The 18,869-nt window shown below is 37.1% G+C and overlaps 3 annotated features.

The window, feature by feature from the left end:
- Positions 6–749: an enhancer, noted in NCBI's record as "OCT4-NANOG hESC enhancer chr6:103981695-103982438 (GRCh37/hg19 assembly coordinates)". NCBI's record gives its function as "activates a minimal SCP1, AML or CMV promoter by ChIP-STARR-seq in naive and primed H9 embryonic stem cells {active_cell/tissue: H9 hESC(naive and primed)}" and the evidence as "EXISTENCE:reporter gene assay evidence [ECO:0000049][PMID:30033119]".
- Positions 11,835–12,335: an enhancer, noted in NCBI's record as "H3K4me1 hESC enhancer chr6:103970109-103970609 (GRCh37/hg19 assembly coordinates)". NCBI's record gives its function as "activates a minimal SCP1, AML or CMV promoter by ChIP-STARR-seq in primed H9 embryonic stem cells {active_cell/tissue: H9 hESC(primed)}" and the evidence as "EXISTENCE:reporter gene assay evidence [ECO:0000049][PMID:30033119]".
- Positions 12,336–12,836: an enhancer, noted in NCBI's record as "H3K4me1 hESC enhancer chr6:103969608-103970108 (GRCh37/hg19 assembly coordinates)". NCBI's record gives its function as "activates a minimal SCP1, AML or CMV promoter by ChIP-STARR-seq in primed H9 embryonic stem cells {active_cell/tissue: H9 hESC(primed)}" and the evidence as "EXISTENCE:reporter gene assay evidence [ECO:0000049][PMID:30033119]".

The raw sequence follows: 18,869 nt of genomic DNA, 5'->3' as shown, positions 1-18,869 counted from the left end.
GATATTCTTCAGATGGTGTGAAGAAAATCAAAACATTTTACCCCAAAATACATTTCTATGACACATTTTTGAAATGGTTGCCACAGGGTCAGCAGACTGAATTGGTCCTGCAAAGATGTCTTTTGTAGGGGAAATTGGCGTCTGTGAAGATGCCCCACTAACCAGGCCTTCCCTTTCAAGGCTTGTCCTGGATCTAGGGGAGATTAACTGAGAGTCTGATACCTTTAAAAGTCTGAAAAGAAACATTTACCATCTATTCTCTCTGAGGTCTACTACCTGTGAGGCTTCATTTACATAACAAGGCCTTCTTTACTAGCCATGACTGTTCCTCTCTCCCTGTCATAAACTGTTTTATCTGGATCCAAGCCCCCATTCTTTCTGTAACCTCAAGATGGTATTTAAGCTTTTGTAATCTCATTGAGAGGTTTGGTCTTTATTCTGAAGGCCCCAGTGTATAGACATGAAATAAAGGTGTATGCTTTTACTCCTGTTAATCAACCTGACTTATGTCAATGATTTTTCAGTGAACCTTTAAGGAGCCAAAGGCCTTGGCCCCCACACTGACATAGAAGAGGTACGAAAAGCTTGCTATTGCCCAGATGTTTCAGGAATTATCTGAAAATATTTTAAAAAGTGAAGCAGAGTGTTGTTGCCCTAAAAAGAATAAGTTGAGAACAAATTAATATAAGTAGAGAGTTTATTTGGGCCACGCTTGAGGATGGCAACTCAGGAGCATAGATTCAAGTTGCCCTAAATATCCACTTTGGTTAACAGAAGTTACAAGTGGATTTTGAAAGGAAAAGAAGAGGCAGTTTCTGAGTTATTTACCTATAATTTACATTAAAATAACATAAGCTGTTGATTGGTTGTACATTGTTTTTTGTATCATACATTCCAGGAATATGAAGATAATAGGTTAGGCATCTGGTTAGAAACAAAATGCCTTTAAACAGTTACCCCCAGGCATGAGTTGGTGGGGGGAGAATATGACTGAAGTCCGATACCTCAGTTCTCTCTGGGCCTGATAAATTTTGCATACCTCATATAATTCAGACTGTTTCCAGCTATTTTTCTTTTCTCAGTATATAGGCTATTTCTGGGGAAACAGCTTGTTCAGAATTGTGGAGAGTTTAAGGAATGCAACTCAGACTGCTTGGGGAAGTGCCTTTTAAATGCTAGCATGAGCTTAGAGACCCAAGAAGGTAACTGGAGTTCAGGGCAGAGCAATTAAACTAAATAACAGGAATACTAATTAAAACAAACAAAATAGAGAAGCGAAGGCAAGTAGCATCAGTTATTTCTCCAATTCCTGGAAGTGTTGTTTAAAGACATCTGTTTGGCTACCATTCCTTTATAATGAGGGTTTCTAAGGTAGAGTAGATAGAAAACAAATTCAGAACTTCCTTTTGCTCCCAACTTAGTAAACTCAATGCAGTAACACGTCTGGAGCAACCAGAAATAACGCCCATCATCAAAGACTTGACGGATGAAGCAGTGGTGATCTTATCACATACCCATTTTACTAATTTTTTTTTTAATTCATGTCAACCTAAAAAAAATGAAAAGAATCAGAATCCAGTTTTAAAGAGTTTATTCAAACAAAAAGCTGAGAATAGCTATCCGGGAAATACAGACTCCAGAGAAATGGGGTTAGTGCTTCTAAGTTAAAAGTTAAAGTCTTGCTTATATAGGTAGGAAACAAAGAAATTTAGTAGAATTATAGCATTTTCTAGACAAGGCTGTTTTATGAGTAACAATTTAATTAGTTTTCTTTTTCATACAGATCATTTTAATTTCCATTCCAACTAAAAAGTATATTTAACATTTCATCCCAGACAGTGTTATAGTCATGAAGTCTTCGTGTGAGATAGGAAGAAGGGAAGTTAATCTATAAAGAACATCAACAGTTAAAAGGAAAGAGGCTTGCTCTGTCACATTTTAGTCATGTATAACATTCTACAAAACAATGTAGGTAAGGAAAAAGTCTAATCTATAATCAGAGAAACAAAGGTTACAGCTTCCTAGGTTATAGCTTCATGTTTATGTGATTCAGCTCCCATAGTAACACTTCCTTAATGCTCAAAATATTTTACAGTTCCAAAAGCTTATATTTTGAATTACTTATTTTCATTTTCAAAAGGCAAATAGGTCCTGGAAAATGACAAGGCATTTTTCATTAATTCAACACCATACATTAAGCACCAATATGCAAATAACAGTTTTCTGGGATATAGAAATAAAAAAAGCAAAGGCATATTAAAAGCCAATATTATACAAATAAGTAATTTGTAGAGAAGAAGGTAATAAGTGCTATGAAATAAATGAGAATTAGATGGACTTGGGATTGGAGGCTGGGATTGGAAAGGCTAAGGAAAGGATTGGTTTACAATTTTTTAAAGAGTTGATAGATCACAAAATGGTGTTTTAAAGGTTTCTTTTATAATATAAAATTGATATAAAATCCTATTAGAACATTTAGAATACACAGAAAAAAAGAATAAAAGTAAAATTACATTTTGTTCAGATGCCCAAAGGCAAATATTTCATGTTCTTCTCTGATTTTCTCTCCCCTCTTTTTTTTGGTTTTACTTTGGAAGATACAATGTATATTATAATTTCTACAAATTCTCTACAAATATTTATTATTGTACTTTCAACATTACAGATTGATTTTTATTTTTTCTCTTATCAAACAAAAATAAAACAAAGGAAATTATAATAATAACCCAAACATTTTATTTTAAATCTACTCTTTTTTCCCCAACAGTACAGACTTACAGTTCTAGTCCTCAGAGGTCATCATTATTATCAGTTTCTTATATTTCTGTCTCAGTATGTTTTCTGCTGCTATAATACAATACTGAAATTGGGTAATTTATAATGAAGAAAAATTTATATTCCCACAGTTCTGGAGGTTGTGAAGTCCAAGAGTAAGATGTTGGCATCTGCTGAGACTTTTTGGTGCATCATCACATGGAGAAAAACAAAAATGCAAAAAGGCAAAAAACAGCAAAACTTGCTCTTTTGTAATGGTTCTAATCCTACGCATGGGGTCAGAGTCTTCATGGCATTATTATTATTTCCCAAAGTCCCACCTCCTAACACTGCCACAGCAGCAATCAAATTTTAACATGAGTTTTGGAGGGGATAATTATTCAAACCACAGCAAAATCCTTCCAGAATATTTTGTTCACACTCAGCCATATATTGGTATATTTTATACGTTTTAAAATTTTATATTTATAAAATATATAAAATAATATATAGTCATAGAAAAATAAATAATATATATATTTCTATTTCCTCCTCCACTCAGTCCCTAGTAACCAGTATTCCACTATCTGATTTTATGAATTTAACTGTTTTAGATTTTTTATACAAGTGAGATTATGCAGTATTTGTCCTATGTTCTATAGATGCACGCAATATTTCCCTCTTTTTTTAAGGCTGAACATTATTTTATTTTGTGTATATATAACGCATTTTCTTTATCCACTTATCCACTGATAAACATTTAAGTTGTTTCTATATCTTGGCTATTGTAAATAATGCTGCAATGAACATGGGATTGAACATATCTTTTTGAGATTTGATTTCAACTCCTTTGGATATATACTCAGAATTGGGATTGCAGGTAATTTTATTTTTAATTTTTTGAGGAACCTGCATGCTACTTTTTACAGTAACTGTTAATATACCAATTTACATTTTCAGCAATAGTGTACAAGGTTTCTCTCTCTTCTTCACATCCTCAACAACAACTTTTATCTTATTTTTTGATAATAGCTGTTCTAACAGGTGTGAGGTGATATTTTATTGTGGTTTTGATTTGCATGTCCCTGATGATTAGGGATTTTGAGCACATTTTCACTAAGTCATTAAAACATTTAATGAGTCCCATTTTATCTTTTCTTATTTTTTATACTTTATTAAAATATATTTTTCATGCATTTTATGCTTTATTAAAGAAATGAGATTCTCCATATTAATTGTAAGAAGCAGTATTAGCAGATGGAGTGCCCCACACATATATATATATTTTTTATTTTGGTTGAATTAACATCATGTAGTTTAACATACTATTTCCTTGTCTTTATTTTTGTTAAATTGATCTTTGCTTCTAAGGACTTGATGATGTGTAGGTTCAATTCTTTTTGGCAAAAGTCCTTGATAGAGGGTGTTGTGTATTTCTATTATGATTTTTGCTCTCCTTCATTCTGTGATATTAGCAGTTGATATTAAATGCCTAGATCCATTATTTTATTAGGTATTGAAAATATTATTTTAATCCTATCCCTTTTTATCATTTATGAGTCGAAGTGTTTTTGTAATGAGATACAGCCCCCATTTCTTATTCTGGTTATATAGGTATACAGTTTCTTTTTTTTAATATACCTTAAGTTCTGGAGTACATGTGCAGAATGTGCAGGTTTGTTACATAGGTATACATGTGCCATGATGGTTTGCTGCACCCATCAATCCGTCATCTACATTAGGTATTTCTCCAAATGCTATCCCTCCCCTAGCCCCCCACCCCCCAACAGGCCCCCGTGTGTGATGTTCCCCTCCTTGTGTCCATGTGTTCTCATTGTTCAACCCCCACTTATGAGTGAGAACATGTGGTGTTTGGTTTTCTATTCCTGTGTTAGTTTGCTGAGAATGATGATTTCCAGCTCCATCCATGTCCCAGTAAAGGACATGAACTCATTTTTTTTATAGCTGCATAGTATTCCATGGTGTATATGTGCCACATTTTCTTTATCCAGTCTATCATTGATAGGCGTTTGGGTTGGTTCCAAGTCTTTGCTATTGAGAACAGTGCTGCAATAAACGTATGTGTGCATGTGTCTTTATAGTAGAATGATTTATAATCCTTTGGGTATAAACCCAGTAATGGGATTGCTGGGTCAAATGGTATTTCTAATTCTAGATCCTTGAGGAATCGCCACACTGTCTTCCACAATGGTTGAACTAATTTAAACTCCCACAAACAGTGTAAAAGCATTCCTATTTCTCCACATGCTCTCCAGCATCTGTTTCCTGACTTTTTAATGATCGCCATTCTAACTGGCGTGAAATGGTATCTCACTATGGCTTTGATTTGCATTTCTCCAGTGACCAGTGATGATGAGCTTCCTTTCATATGTTTGTTGGCTGCATAAATGTCTTCTTTCGAGAATTGTCTGGTCATATCCTTCGCCCACTTTTTGATGGGTTTGTTTGTTTTAATTTTGTAAATTTGTTTAAGTTCTTTATAGATTCTGGATATTAGCCTTTTGTCACATGGATAGATGGCAAAAATTTTCTCCCATTCTGTAGGTTGCCTCATCCCTCTGATGATAGTTTCTTTTGCTGTGAAGAAGCTCTTTAGTTTAATTAGATCCCATTTGTCAATTTTGGCTTTTGTTGCCATTGCTTTTGGTCTTTTATTCATGGTCTTGGCCCATGCCTAAGTCCTGAATGGTATTGCCTAGATTTCCTTCTAGGGTGTTTATGGTGTTAGGTCTTACATTTAAGTCTTTAATCCATCTTGAGTTACTTTTTGTATAAAGTGTAAGGAAGGGATCCAGTTTCAGCTTTCTACATATGGCTAGCCAGTTTTCCCAACACCATTTATTAAATAGGGTATCCATTCCCCATTTCTTGTTTTTGTCAGATTTGTCAAAGATCAGAAGGTTGTAGATTTTTGGCATTATTTCTGAGGCCTCTGTTCTGTTGCATTGGTCTATATGTCTGTTTTAGTACCAGTACCATGCTATTTTGGTTACTGTTGCCTTTTAGTATCATTTGAAGTCAAGTAGCATGATACCTCCAGCTTTGTTCTTTTTGCTTTGGATTGTCTCAGATATGCGGGTGCTTTTTTGATTCCATGTGAAAATTCAAGTAGTTTTTTCCAATTCCATGAAGAAAAAGTCAATGCTAGCTTGATTGGGATAGCATTGAATCTATAAATAACTTTGAGCAGTATGGCCATTTTCACGATATTGATTGTTCTTATCCATGAGCATGAAATTTTTTCCATGTGTTTGTGTCCTCTCTTATTTCCTTGAACAGTGGTTTGTAGTTCTCCTTGAACAGTTCCTTCACACCCCTTGTAAATTGTATTCGTAGGTACTTTATTCTCTTTGTAGCAATTGTGAATGGGAGTTCACTCATGATTTTCTCTGTTATTGGTGTATAAGAATGCTTTTGATTTTTTTTTTAATTATACTTTAAGCTAGGGTACATGTGCACAACGTGCAGGTTTGTTACGTACGTATACATGTGTCATGTTGGTGTGCTGCACCCATTAACTCGTCATTTACATTAGATATATCTCCTAATGCTATCCATCCCCCATCCCCCCACCCCACAGCAGGCCCCGGTATGCAATGTTTCCCACCCTTTGTCCAAGTGTTCTCATTGTTCAATTCCCACATGCAAGGAAGAACATGCCCACATGCAAGGAAGAACATGCCGTGTTTGGTTTCCTGTCCTTGCAATAGTTTGCTCAGAATGATGGTTTTCAGCTTTATCCATGTCCCTACAAAGGACATGAACTCATCTTTTTGTTTTTTTGAGATGGAGTCTCGCTCTGTTGCCCAGGCTGGAGTGCAGTGGCGCTATCTCAGCTCACTGCAAGCTCCTCCTGGGTTGACGCCATTCTCCTGCCTCAGCCTCCCGAGTAGCTGGGACTACAGGCACCTGCCACCATGCCTGGCTAATTTTTTTGTTTTTTTTTTTTTAGTAGAGACGGGGTTTCACCATGTTAGCCAGGATGGTCTCGATCTCCTGACCTTGTGATCCTCCTGCCTCAACCTCCCAAAGTGTTGGGATTACAGGCGTGAGCCACTGCGCCTGGCCGAACTCATCCTTTTTTATGGCTGCATAGTATTCCATGGTGTATATGTGCCACCTTTTCTTAATCTAGTCTATCATTTATGGACATTTGGGTTAGTTCCAAGTCTTTGCTATTGTGAATAGTGTCACAATAAACATACGTGTGCATGTGTCTTTATAGTAGAATGATTTATAATCCTTTGGGTATATACCCAGTAATGGGATCACTGGGTCAAATGGTATTTCTAGTTCTAGATCCTTGAGGAATCGCCACACTGTCTTCCACAATGGTTAAACTAGTTTATGCTCCCACCAACAGTGTAAAACTGTTCCTATTTCTCCACATCCTCTCCAGCACCTGTTGTTTCCTGACTTTTTAATGATCGCCATTCTAACTGGTGTGAGATGGTATCTCATTGTGGTTTTGATTTGCATTTCTCTGATGACCAGGATGATAAGCATTTTTTCATGTGTCTGTTGGCTGCATAAATGTCTTCTTTTGAAAAGTGTTTGTTCATATCCTTTGCCCACTTTTTGATGGGGTTGTTTGATTTTTTCTTGTAAATTTGTTTAAGTCCTTTGTATATTCTGGATATTAGCTCTTTGTTAGATGGGTAGATTGCAAAAATTTTCTCCCATTTTGTAGGTTGCCTGTTCACTCTGATAGTAGTTTCTTTTGCTGTGAAGAAGCTCTTTAGTTTAATTAGATCCCATTTGTCAATTTTGGCTTTTGTTGCCATTGCTTTTGGTGTTTTAGTCATAAAATCCTTGCTCATGCCTACCTCCTGAATGGTGTTGCCTAGGTTTTCTTCTAGGGTGTTTATGGTTTTAGGTCTAACATTTAATTCTTTAATGCATCTTGAATTAATTTTTATATAAGGTGTAAGGAAGGGATCCAGTTTCAGCTTTCTACATATGGCTAGCCAGTTTTCCCAGCACCATTTATTAAATAGGGAATCCTTTCCCCATTTCTTGTTTTTGTCACGTTTGTCAAAGATCAGATAGTTGTAGATGTTTGGTGTTATTTCTGAGGCCTCTGTTCTGTTCCATTGGTCCGTATCTCTGTTTTGGTACCAGTACCATGCTGTTTTGGTTACTGTGGCCTTGTGATATAGTTTGAAATCAGGTAGCATGATGTCTCCAGCTTTGCTCTTTTTGCTTAGGATTTTCTTGGCAATGTGGGCTCTTTTTTGGTTCCATATGAACTTAAAATTAGTTTTTTTCCAATTCTGTGAAGTAAGTCTTTGGTAGTTTGATGAGGATGGCACTGAATCTGTAAATTACCTTGGGCAGTATGGCCATTTTCACTATATTGATTCTTCCTAACTGTGAGCATGGAATGTTCTTCCCTTTGTTTGTATCCTCTTTTATTTTGTTGAGCAGTGGTTTGTAGTACTCCTTGAAGAGGTCCTTCACATCCCTTGTAAGTTGGATTCCTAGGTATTTTAATTCTCTTTGAAGCAATCGTGAATGGGGATTCACTCATGATTTGGCTCTCTGTTTGTCTGTTGTTGTATAAGAATACTTGTGATTTTCATACATTGGTTTTGTGTCCTTAGACTTTGCTGAAGTTGCTTATCAGCTTAAGGAGATTTTGGGCTGAGACAATGGGGTTTTCTAAATATACAATCATGTCATCTGCCAACAGAGACAATTTGACGTCCTCTTTTCCTAATTGAATACCATTTACTTTTTTATCTTGCCTGATTGCTCTGGCCAGAACTTCCAATACTATGTTCAATAGGAGTGGTGAGAGAGGGCATCCTTGTTGTGTGCTGGTTTTCAAAGGGAATGCTTCCAGCTTTTGCCCATTCAGTATGATATTGGCTGTGGGTTTGTCATAAATATCTCTTATTATTTTGAGATACATTCTATCAATACTAGTTTATTGAGAGTTTTTAGCATGAAGGAGTGTTGAATTTTGTTGAAGGCCTTTTCTGCATCTACTGAGATAATCATGTGGTTTTGGTCATTGATTCTCTTTATGTGATGGATTCCATTTATTGATTTGCATATGTTGAACCAGTCTTGCCTCCCCAGGATGAAGCCGACTTGATTGTGGTGGATAAGCTTTTTGATGTTCTGCTGGATTCAGTTTGCCAGTATTTTATTGAGGATTTTTGCATCAATGTTTATCAGGGTTATTGGCCTGAAATTTTCTTTTTTTGTTGTGTTTCTGCCAGGTTTTGGTATTACGATGGTGCTGACCTCATAAAATGAGTTAGGGAGGAATCTCTCTTTTTCTATCGTTTGGAATAGCTTCAGAAGGAATGGTACCAGCTCCTCTTTGTACCTCTGGTAGAATTTGGCTGTGATTCTGTCTGGTCCTGGACTTGCTTTGGTTGGTAGGCTATTAATTGCTGCCTCAATCTCAGAACTTGTTATTGGTCTACTTAGGGATGCAACGTCTTCCTGGTTTAGTCTTGGGAGGGTGTATGTGTCTAGCAACTTATCCATTTCTTCCAGATTTTCTAGTTTATTTGCGTAGAGGTGTTTATAGTATTCTCTGACGGTAGTTTGTATTTCTGTGGGATTGGAGGTGATATCCTCTTCATTGCTTTTTATTGCATCTATTTGATTCTTCTCTCTTTTCTTCATTATTAGTCTTGCTAGTGGTCTGTCTATTTTGTTGATCTTTTCAAAAAAACAGCTCCTGGATTCATTGATTTTTGAAGGGTTTTTTGTGTCTCTATTCCCTTCAGTTCTGTTCTGATCTTAGTTATTTCTTGCCTTCTGCTAGCTTTTGAATTTGTTTGCTCTTGCTTCTCTAGTTATTTAAAATGTGATGTTAGGGTGTTGATTTGAAATCTTTCCTGCTTTCTCTTGTGGGCATTTAGTGCTATAAATTTCCCTCTACCCATTGCTTTAAATGTGTCCCGGAGATTTTGGTACATTGGTTCTTTGTTCTCATTGGTTTCAAAGAACATCTTTATTTCTGCCTTCATTTCATTATTTACCCAGTAGTCATTCAGGAGTAGGTTTTTTTGTTTCCATGTGGTTGTGCGGTACTGAGTGTGTTTCTTAATCCTGAGTTCTAATTTGATTGCATTGTGGTCTGAGAGACTGTTTGTTATTATTTCCATTCTTTTGCATTTGCTGAAGAGTGCTTTACTTCCAATTATGTGCTCAATTTTATAATAAATGCAATGCGGTGCTGAGAAGAATGTACATTCTGTTGATTTGGAGTGGTGAGTTCTGTAGATGTCTATTAGGTCCACTTGGTCCAGAGCTGAGTTCAAGCCCTGGATATCCTGGTTAATTTTCTGTCTCATTGATCTGTCTAATATTGACAATTAAGTCTGCCACTAGTATTGTGTGAGAGTCTATGTCTTTTTGTTGGTCTCTAAGTACTTGAATCTGGGTGCTCCTATATTCAGTGCATATATATTTAGGATAGTTAGCTCTTCTTGTTTCACTGATCCTTTTAGGATTATGTAATGCCCTTCTTTGTCTCTTTTGATCTGTTAGTTTAAAGTCTGTTTTATCAGAGACTAGGAGTACAACTCCTGCTTTTTTTTTTTTTTTTGCTTTCTATTTGCTTGGTAAATATTCCTCCATCCCTTTATTTTGAGCCTATGTGTGTCTTTGCACGTGAGATGGGTCTCCTGAAGAGAGCACACCAATGGGTCTTGACTCTTTATCCAATTTGCCAGTCTGTGTCTTTTAATTGGGACATTTAGCCCATTTACATTTAAGGTTAATATTGTTATGTGTGAATTTAATCCTGCCATTATGATGCTAGCTGGTTATTTTGCCTGTTAGTTAATGCAGTTTCTTCATAGCATCAATGGTCTTTACAATTTGGTATGTTTTTGCAACGGTTGGTACCGGTTGAGCCTTTCCATGTTTAGTGCTTCCTTCAGGAGCTCTTGTAAGGTAGGCTTGGTGGTGACAAAATCTCTCAGCATTTGCTTGTCTGTAAAGGATTTTCTTTGTCCATAGCTTATGAAGCTTAATTTGGCTGGATATGAAATTCTGGGTTGAAAATTCTTTTCTTTAATAATGTTGAATATTGGCCCCCACTCTCCTCTGGCTTGTAGGCTTTCTGCTGACAGAACTGCTGTTAGTCTGATGGGCTTCCCTTTGTGGGTATCCCAACCTTTCTCTCTGGCTGCGCTTAATATTTTTTCCCTCATTTCAACTTTGGTGAATCTGACGATTATGTGTCTTGGGGTTGCTCTTTTCAAAGAGTATCTTTGTGGTGTTCTCTGTATTTCCTGAATTTGAATGTTGGCCTGCCTTGCAAAGATTGGGGAAGTTCTTCTGAATAACATTCTGAAGAGTGTTTTCCAACTTGGTTCCGTTCTCCCTGTCACTTTCAGATACACCAATTAAATGTAGATTTGATCTTTTCACATAGTCTCATATTTCTTGGAGGCTTTGTTCATTTCCTTTCACTCTTTTTTCTGTAATCGTTCTTCTCATTTTATTTCATTGAGATGATCTTCAACCTCTGATATCCTTTCTTCTACTTGATCAATTTGGGTATTGATACTTTTATGTACTTCACAACATTTTCGTGCTGTGTTTTTCAGCTCCATCAGGTCATTTATGTTGCTCTCTAAACCAGTTATTCTAGTTAGCAATTTGTCTAACCTTTTTTGCAATGTTCTTAGCTTCCTTGCATTGGGTTACAACATATTCCTTTAGCTCGGAGGAGTTTTTTATTACCTACCTTCTGAAGCCTACTTCTGTCAATTCATCAAACTCATTCTCTGTCCAGTTTTTTTCCCTTGCTGGCAAGGGGTTGTGATCCTTTGGAGGGGAAGAGGCATTCTGGTTTTGGAATTTTCAGCATTTTTACGCTGGTTTTTCCTCATCTTCATGGCTTTATCTACCTTTGGTCTTTGATGTTGCTAACATTTGGATGGGGTTTCTGTGTGGATGTCCTTTTTGTTGATGTTGATGCTATTCCTTTATGTTGGTTTTCCTTCTAACAGTCAAGCCCCTCAGCTGCAGGTCTTCTGGAGTTTGCTGGAGGTCCACTCCAGACTCTGTTTGCCTGGGTATCACTGGCAGAGGGTGCAGAACAGCAAAGATTGCTGCCTGTTCCTTCCTCTGGAATCTTTGTCCCAGAGGGGCACCTGCCAGATGCCAACCAAAGCTCTCCTGTATGAGGTGTCCGCTGGCCCCTACTGGGGCATATCTCCCAGTCAGGATACATGGGGGTTAGGGACCCACTTGAAGAGGCAGTCTGTCCCTTATCAGAGCTTGAACACTGTGCTGGGAGATCCGCTGCTCTCTTCAGAGATTCTAGGCAGGGATGTTTAAGTCTGCTGAAGCTGGGCCCCCAACCGCCCGCCCCCAGGTGCTCTGTCCCAGGGAGGTGGGGATTTTATCTATCAGTCCCTGACTGGGGCTGCTGCCTTTTCTTCAGAGATGCCCTGTCCAGAGAGGAGGGAACCGGGAGAGGCAGTCAGGCTGCAGTGGCCTTGATGAGCTGTAGTGGGCTCTGACCAGTTCGAACTTCCTGGCGGCTTTGTTTACACTGTGAGGGTAGAACTGCCTACTCAAGCCTCAGCAATGGCGGAAGCCCCTCCCCTCACCAAGTTCAAGAGTCCCAGGTTGAGCCAAGCTCAAGCGTCCCAGGTCAAGCTCAGACTGCTGTGATAGCAGCGAGAATTTCAAGCCAGTGGATTTTAGCTTCCGGGCTGTATGGGGGTGGGACCTACCGAGCCAGACCACTTGGCTCCCTGGCTTCAGCCCCCTTTCCAGGGGAGTGAATGGTTCTGTCTTGCTGGTGTTTTGGGCGCCACTGGGGTATTGAAACAAAACAAAACAAATCAAAACAAAACTCCTGTGGCTAGCTCAGTGTCTGCCCAAACGGCCACCCAGTTTTGTGCTGGAAACCAGGGCCCTGGTGGCATGGGCACCAGAGTGAATCTCCTGGTCTGCAGGTTGTGAAGACATTGGGAAAAGCGCAGTACCTTGGCTGAAGTGCATGGTACAGTCCCTAAAGGCTTCCCTTGGATAGGCGAGGGAGTTCCCCAACCCCTTGGGCTTCCAGGTGAGGCAATGCCCCACCCTGCTTTGGATCCCCCTCCTTGGGCTGCACCCACTGTCCAATCAGTCCCAATGAGATGAACCAGGTACCTCAGTTGGAAATGCAGAAATCACCTGCCTTCTGAGTTGCTCTCACTGGGAGCTGCAGACCAGAGCTGTTCCTATTTGGCCATCTTGCCAGCAATCAATCTATATAGGTGTACAGTCTTTAAAAGAAAAGATCTTTTTATTTACAATTTTTTTTTCTGAGACAGAGTCTCGCTCTGTAGTCCAGGCTGGAGTGCTGCAGTGGCATGATCTCGCCTCACTGCGACCTCTGACTCCCGTGTCCCGGTTTAAGCAATTCTCCTGCTTCAGTCTCTGAGTAGCTGGGATTATAGGCACGCACCACCATGCCCAACTAATTTTTGCATTTTTAGTAGCGCCAAGGTCTTGCCATGTTGGCCAGGCTGGTCTCGAACTCCTGGCCTCAGGTGATCCACCTGCCTCGGCCTCCAAAAGTGCTGGGATTACAGGCGTAAGCCACCACGCCTGGCCTTTTTATTTACAAATTTTAAAAACAATTAGCTATTTTTCTTGAATCCTCCAACATTGACCAATTGGTTGATGTTGCTTTTAGAATTATTACGACTAAAACTGTTAAACATATTTAATGTATTTGATCCATGACACTTACTCTTTTTTGATGCTCCAGTAGTACTATCTTTGATCAGTGGGAGCCTCTTCAAGTTGACTTCTTGAACTTTTGACGTGACTCTAGGAGTTTTTTTTTTTTTTTTTTGGTTTCCCTGCTATCTAATACAACGACTTTTTTTTCATGTTTATCTGGTACATATTATGATGTAGATCTAAAATCAGCCATTTCTCTAAGGAACCTTGATTTCATATAGTAGAATGTTGTTTCTATAGGCCACAACCTGAGAGCTAGGGTGATTATTGCTCCTTTTTAATGTTTTCCTAAGCCTTCTCAATGCACAAAGCTAATACTTCTAACATTTAAAATAAATATAGTTGCTATATATATATATATATATATATATATATATACACACAAAATGTACAAATCATAAGAGTTATAGCTTAGTGAATTTAAACAAACTGATTATGACTAAGTGACTAGCACATATATCAAGAAGCCAAATGCTGTTAGCAACACAGAAGTCTTAATTGGGTAATTACCAGTCAGAAACTTCCCCACAAGGGAAGCACTACCTGAGTTGTAACATCATAGATTAGCATTTTGTGTATAAAATCAGAATTTTTTTCATCACTGAATTTTAGTAGCAAATGGGTTTAAGTAGCTAGTGGTTTACACAGCTACTCTTCTGATTTCCAAACATACAATTTATTCTTTATTCACCTTGAAAAACACCTCCACCCAATGGAAGACAATGCAAATTCTTATCGTGTCCCTGCATCCGGGTGAAGTCCAGGATATCCGGGGAATACTGAAAGAGAAGGCAATCTTCAGATGTAGATGTTCCTCTTCATATGTGGCAACCTGGTAACTATGATTGCAGGGATATTTAGGAGGGAGTGGGATATGTGAGCCTGAAGATAAAATCATGGTGCAGAGCCAAGATATGGCACTATAAATCCAAGCTGAAAGAGCAATTATGTCTATGTCATTTTTCTTTTGTTTCTCTTTATTATTATTATTATTATTATTATTATTATTATTTTTGAGATGGACCCTTTCTCTGTTGCCCAGGCTGGAATGCAGTGGCACAATCTTGGCTCACTGCAACATCAGCCTCCTGGGTTCAAGTGATTCTCCTGCCTCAGCCTCCCAAGTAGCTGGGATTACAGGTGCCTGCCACCACGCCTGGCTAATTTTTGTATTTTTAGTAGAGGCCCGGTTTCTTCATGTTGGCCAGGCGGGTCTCAAACTCCTGACCTCAGGTGATACACCCACCTCGGACTCCCAAACTGCTGGGATTACAAGCGTGAGCCACCACGCCTGGCTGATATTTTTTTAAAGATGATTTCCTCAAGTGATGTTTTTAGATCTATTATTTTTTTATTGAAAAACATTTATTTTTAAAATGTTTGTAATATAATTGTTTTATAGATTCATCAAAATGATAAATAATTTTAGTATATAAACATTAAATAGCTATCTGGCTATATATAATATAGTATAATATATAAATAATACTAGATATAATATTTATAAATATATGATAATATATTATTTATAATATATATTATTTATATATTATGTATAATATTTATATATAATTATATATAATGTATATAATTACATATAATATCTATATATAATTATATATATATAATTTAATTATTTATGATGCACCCTCTAGTAACCAAAGTTCTGTTTGGATGATAAGTAATAAATCCAAGGTCTTTACTGTTAACAACTGGGAAGTTGAATGTATTTTCTACTTATAATATGAAGACTGTGGTGGGCAGACTACAGAAGAAAGACCAGGTAATCAATGATGGACTTGCTAATTTTGAAATGCATATTAAAATTCATGAAATGATATTCAACTGGCAGTTGGATTTATGAATGTGGAATTTAAGAAAGAGGGAAATCTGACGAGAAATATAAATTTAGGAGTCATCAGCAAATAGATAGTAATCAATATCGTGAGATTAGATGCACTCACCAAAGAATGAAATGTACATGAAGAAAAAATGGTGATCAAGGACTGAGTCATGGTGCATTACAACATTAAGATAAGGGAGAGAAAAAATTACAAAGGAGGTTCAGAAGGAACAACTAATGAGGTAGAACTGCATTTATCACATTTATTGAAAGCCAGGTGAAGAAAATTTTTCAAGACAGGAAATAGTAGGTTCTGTAAAATGATTTTGATATACTAAATGAAAACTATTTGGAACCAGCCATTTGATATAGCACATAGAGTTCTAAATAGTATTTATACTGAAATAGTGGGGCAAAAGATTGATTGTTATAAATTTGGAGAAAATGAGGGGATAGGCAAAAGGGAGATGCAAAGGGGAACAAAAAATGGGGCATCTACCGGTGTATGTAAAAAAAGATAAATTTTTTTAGCATGAAAAATTAATATTACTCTTTTATGAGAGAGATAATTGTATACAGAGCAAATAAAAAATAAAATAAAGAAATTATGAATTACAGAGATAATGTTTTATGAGTAGAAAAAGCAAGTAAGAGTTAATTTAAAAGTACAAAGATTAAGATGTGAACAGACATCTCACCAAAGAAGATATGTAGATGGCAATTAAGCATATAAAAAGATGTTCAACATGTATCATTGAAGAATTGGAAATTAAAACAAGATCCCATGACACAACTATTAGAATTGCTAAAATCCAAAACTTTAACAACATCAAATGCTGATTGGGATTGGAAACATCAGGAACATTAATTCTTTGCTGGCAGGAACAGCCACTTTGAATGATAATCTGGCAGTTTCTACAAAGCTCAGCATAGGCTTAATATAAGATCTAGGAATCTTGCTCCTAGATATTTACCCAAGTGAAGTGAAAACTTATGTGAACACAAAAACTTACACATGAATGTTTATAACAGTTTTACTCATAATTGCCAATAGTTGGAAGCAACTAAGACATTATGTATGACACTGTAATGCACATACAGAATATTATGCATTTGTTTACACTCAGAACTGTATAACTCAAAAGGTGAACTCTAATTTAAACTATTGGCTTTAATAACAACGTATCAATATTGTTTCATCAAGTGTAATAAATGTACCATACTAATTCCAGATGTTAGCAAGAATTGTGAGGAGGTGAATAGTGGGTATATAAGAACTCTGTAATTTCTACACATTTTTTTCTGTAAATCAAAATCTGTTCTAAAAAATTAGAGCCTATTAAAAACAAAGCTATAATGAACATATAATTTTATTTTTTAAGCGGAAGAATTATATTCTGACATGAGCAGAAATCATTTATAACAGATGGGAAATCTGCACATTTGAGTATAGATTCTGATAGATGAGGAGATAAAGGGATGGATAATGGTGGAAATTGTTTTGATTGCTTCAAAATTTTCAATAAAGGAAGAAAAAACATCTTAATCAGAATAAGGATATTTAAGTGTTAGAACTTTGAGATAAGAAAAAAACATGTAAAATAATCTCTTAACCAAGTGTAAAAGTCAATGCATTAGGGAATTATGGTATAATTGCAATGCAATTAAGGGCTCAGTTGATATCTGTGGTTTTGGTTTCAAAGCAAGACCAGTCAATATGGTTTTGTATGATTTTTTTTCCTCCAGATATACCCAGATGTATGTTATATGTGTAGAATAGACAGGCATTGAATTTTACAGAGTTGTGGTTCTGCAAAGCAAATATGATAAAATATGAGGAGGAAAGAGAGAAGAAAGTGCGTGAAAGAAAGACATTTTAATAAATTGACATAGGTCAATTATTTTTGATAAGACTGCCATAAAAAAATGACAGAGACTGAGTGGTTTAAACCACAGAACATCTTCTTTTCTCATATTTCTGGAGGCTGTAAATCCAAGACCAAGGTGTCACCTGTGTGACTTCTCCTGAGGCCTTTCTTCGTGACTTGCAGATAGCCACCCTCTCGTTGTGTTCTAACATAGTTTTTCCTTGTGCACATGCATCCCTGGTGTCTCTTGTGTGTCCAAATTTCCTTTTACATGGACACAAGTCAAACGGAATTAATTTGATCATATTGCCTTTTTAAAGGCCTTATCTCCGAATGCAGTCACATTCTGAAGTTCTGGGGGTTAGGGCTTCAATATATGAATTGGAAGGGAGACACAATTTAGCCCATAGCACTCACCATTTTGAGCCCCCAAAAGTCTCACATACAAAATGCATTCACTCCTATCCCAATAGTTCAAAAGTCTTCAGCAATTCCAGCACTCATTCTAAGTCCCAAAAATCTAATTTAAATCAAGTGTGGATGAGACTCAAGTTATGATTCATCCTGAGGCAAAATTCTTCTCCAGGTGTGAACTTGTGAAACTGAACAAGTTTTCTGCTTTCAAACTATAATGGTGGGACGGATATAGAAGTGACATTCTCATTTCAAAAGTGAGAGATTGGAAAGAAGAAATAAGTCCTATGTCTCAAGCAAGTTCAAATCCTAGCAGGGCAAATTCCATTCGATTTTAAGGTTTGAAAATAATCCTCTTTAACCCAACACTCTGTCCTTTAGGCCTGCCAGGGTAGCAGCCCCATGCCTGCAGCCCAGGACAAGGGTAGCCTGGGTCACTGAAACTAAGAAGGGGTCAACCTCACCCCCTTAAGCCGCTGCTCTCTAAATCAAGGGTAGAATTAGCAGCCCTCATAATCTCTAAATTACCTCTGGGGTTAATTCTTCTCATTTCTTAAAGGATAAGGCATATTCACAGCCAGATAGCTCTATTGTCCCATCCTGTAGGATCCCAGAAGTCTGATACTCTTGCTACATTTTGTCCCTTTTGGTCTCTTTTTGTCTAGGCTGGCAAGTATTTATGCTTGTATAACCCCAACTCTTTTCCTGGATTCTGCTGAAGTGACTGAACAGATCCATGAGTCACATCTGTAATCTACTGAGTGATTGATTGTACACTTATATCCTTGGTGTTCTCTCCAGAACAAACTTTATCATTTTTTGAAATATGGGTAGGCTGAGAATTTTTCAGATGTTGAAGTTCCTATTGCTTAACAATTTCTTGATTACTTCTTTGAAAGTCCCATCTCCAAATACAATCAAATTCTGAAGTATTGGGGATTTGGGCTTCAACATATAAATTTAGGAGTTGATAAAGTTCAGCTGATAGGACCATACAATTTTAGTTTGTTAAAAATGGGGGAAAGGGCATCAAATAGAAAAGGATCCATGGATTGGAGTCATCTAATGTCAAAGGATTTTTTTGAGTTATAGAGAAAGTGCGCTGTTCTTTGGTGCTCAGAATCTGGGAGACTTGGAAATTAGATTATGAAGTGTTTTCAGTTCTTGATGATAGCATAGTATAAGATATTTCTATGAGCAACTGAGACAGAGAGAAAAATGAGTTCAGTAGGGGAAAGAAGTGCAAAGGCATG

Source organism: Homo sapiens, chromosome 6, assembly GCF_000001405.40.
Source record: "Homo sapiens chromosome 6, GRCh38.p14 Primary Assembly".
Classification (NCBI taxonomy): domain Eukaryota; kingdom Metazoa; phylum Chordata; class Mammalia; order Primates; family Hominidae; genus Homo; species Homo sapiens.
This window is presented reverse-complemented; position numbering and strand designations above follow the sequence as displayed.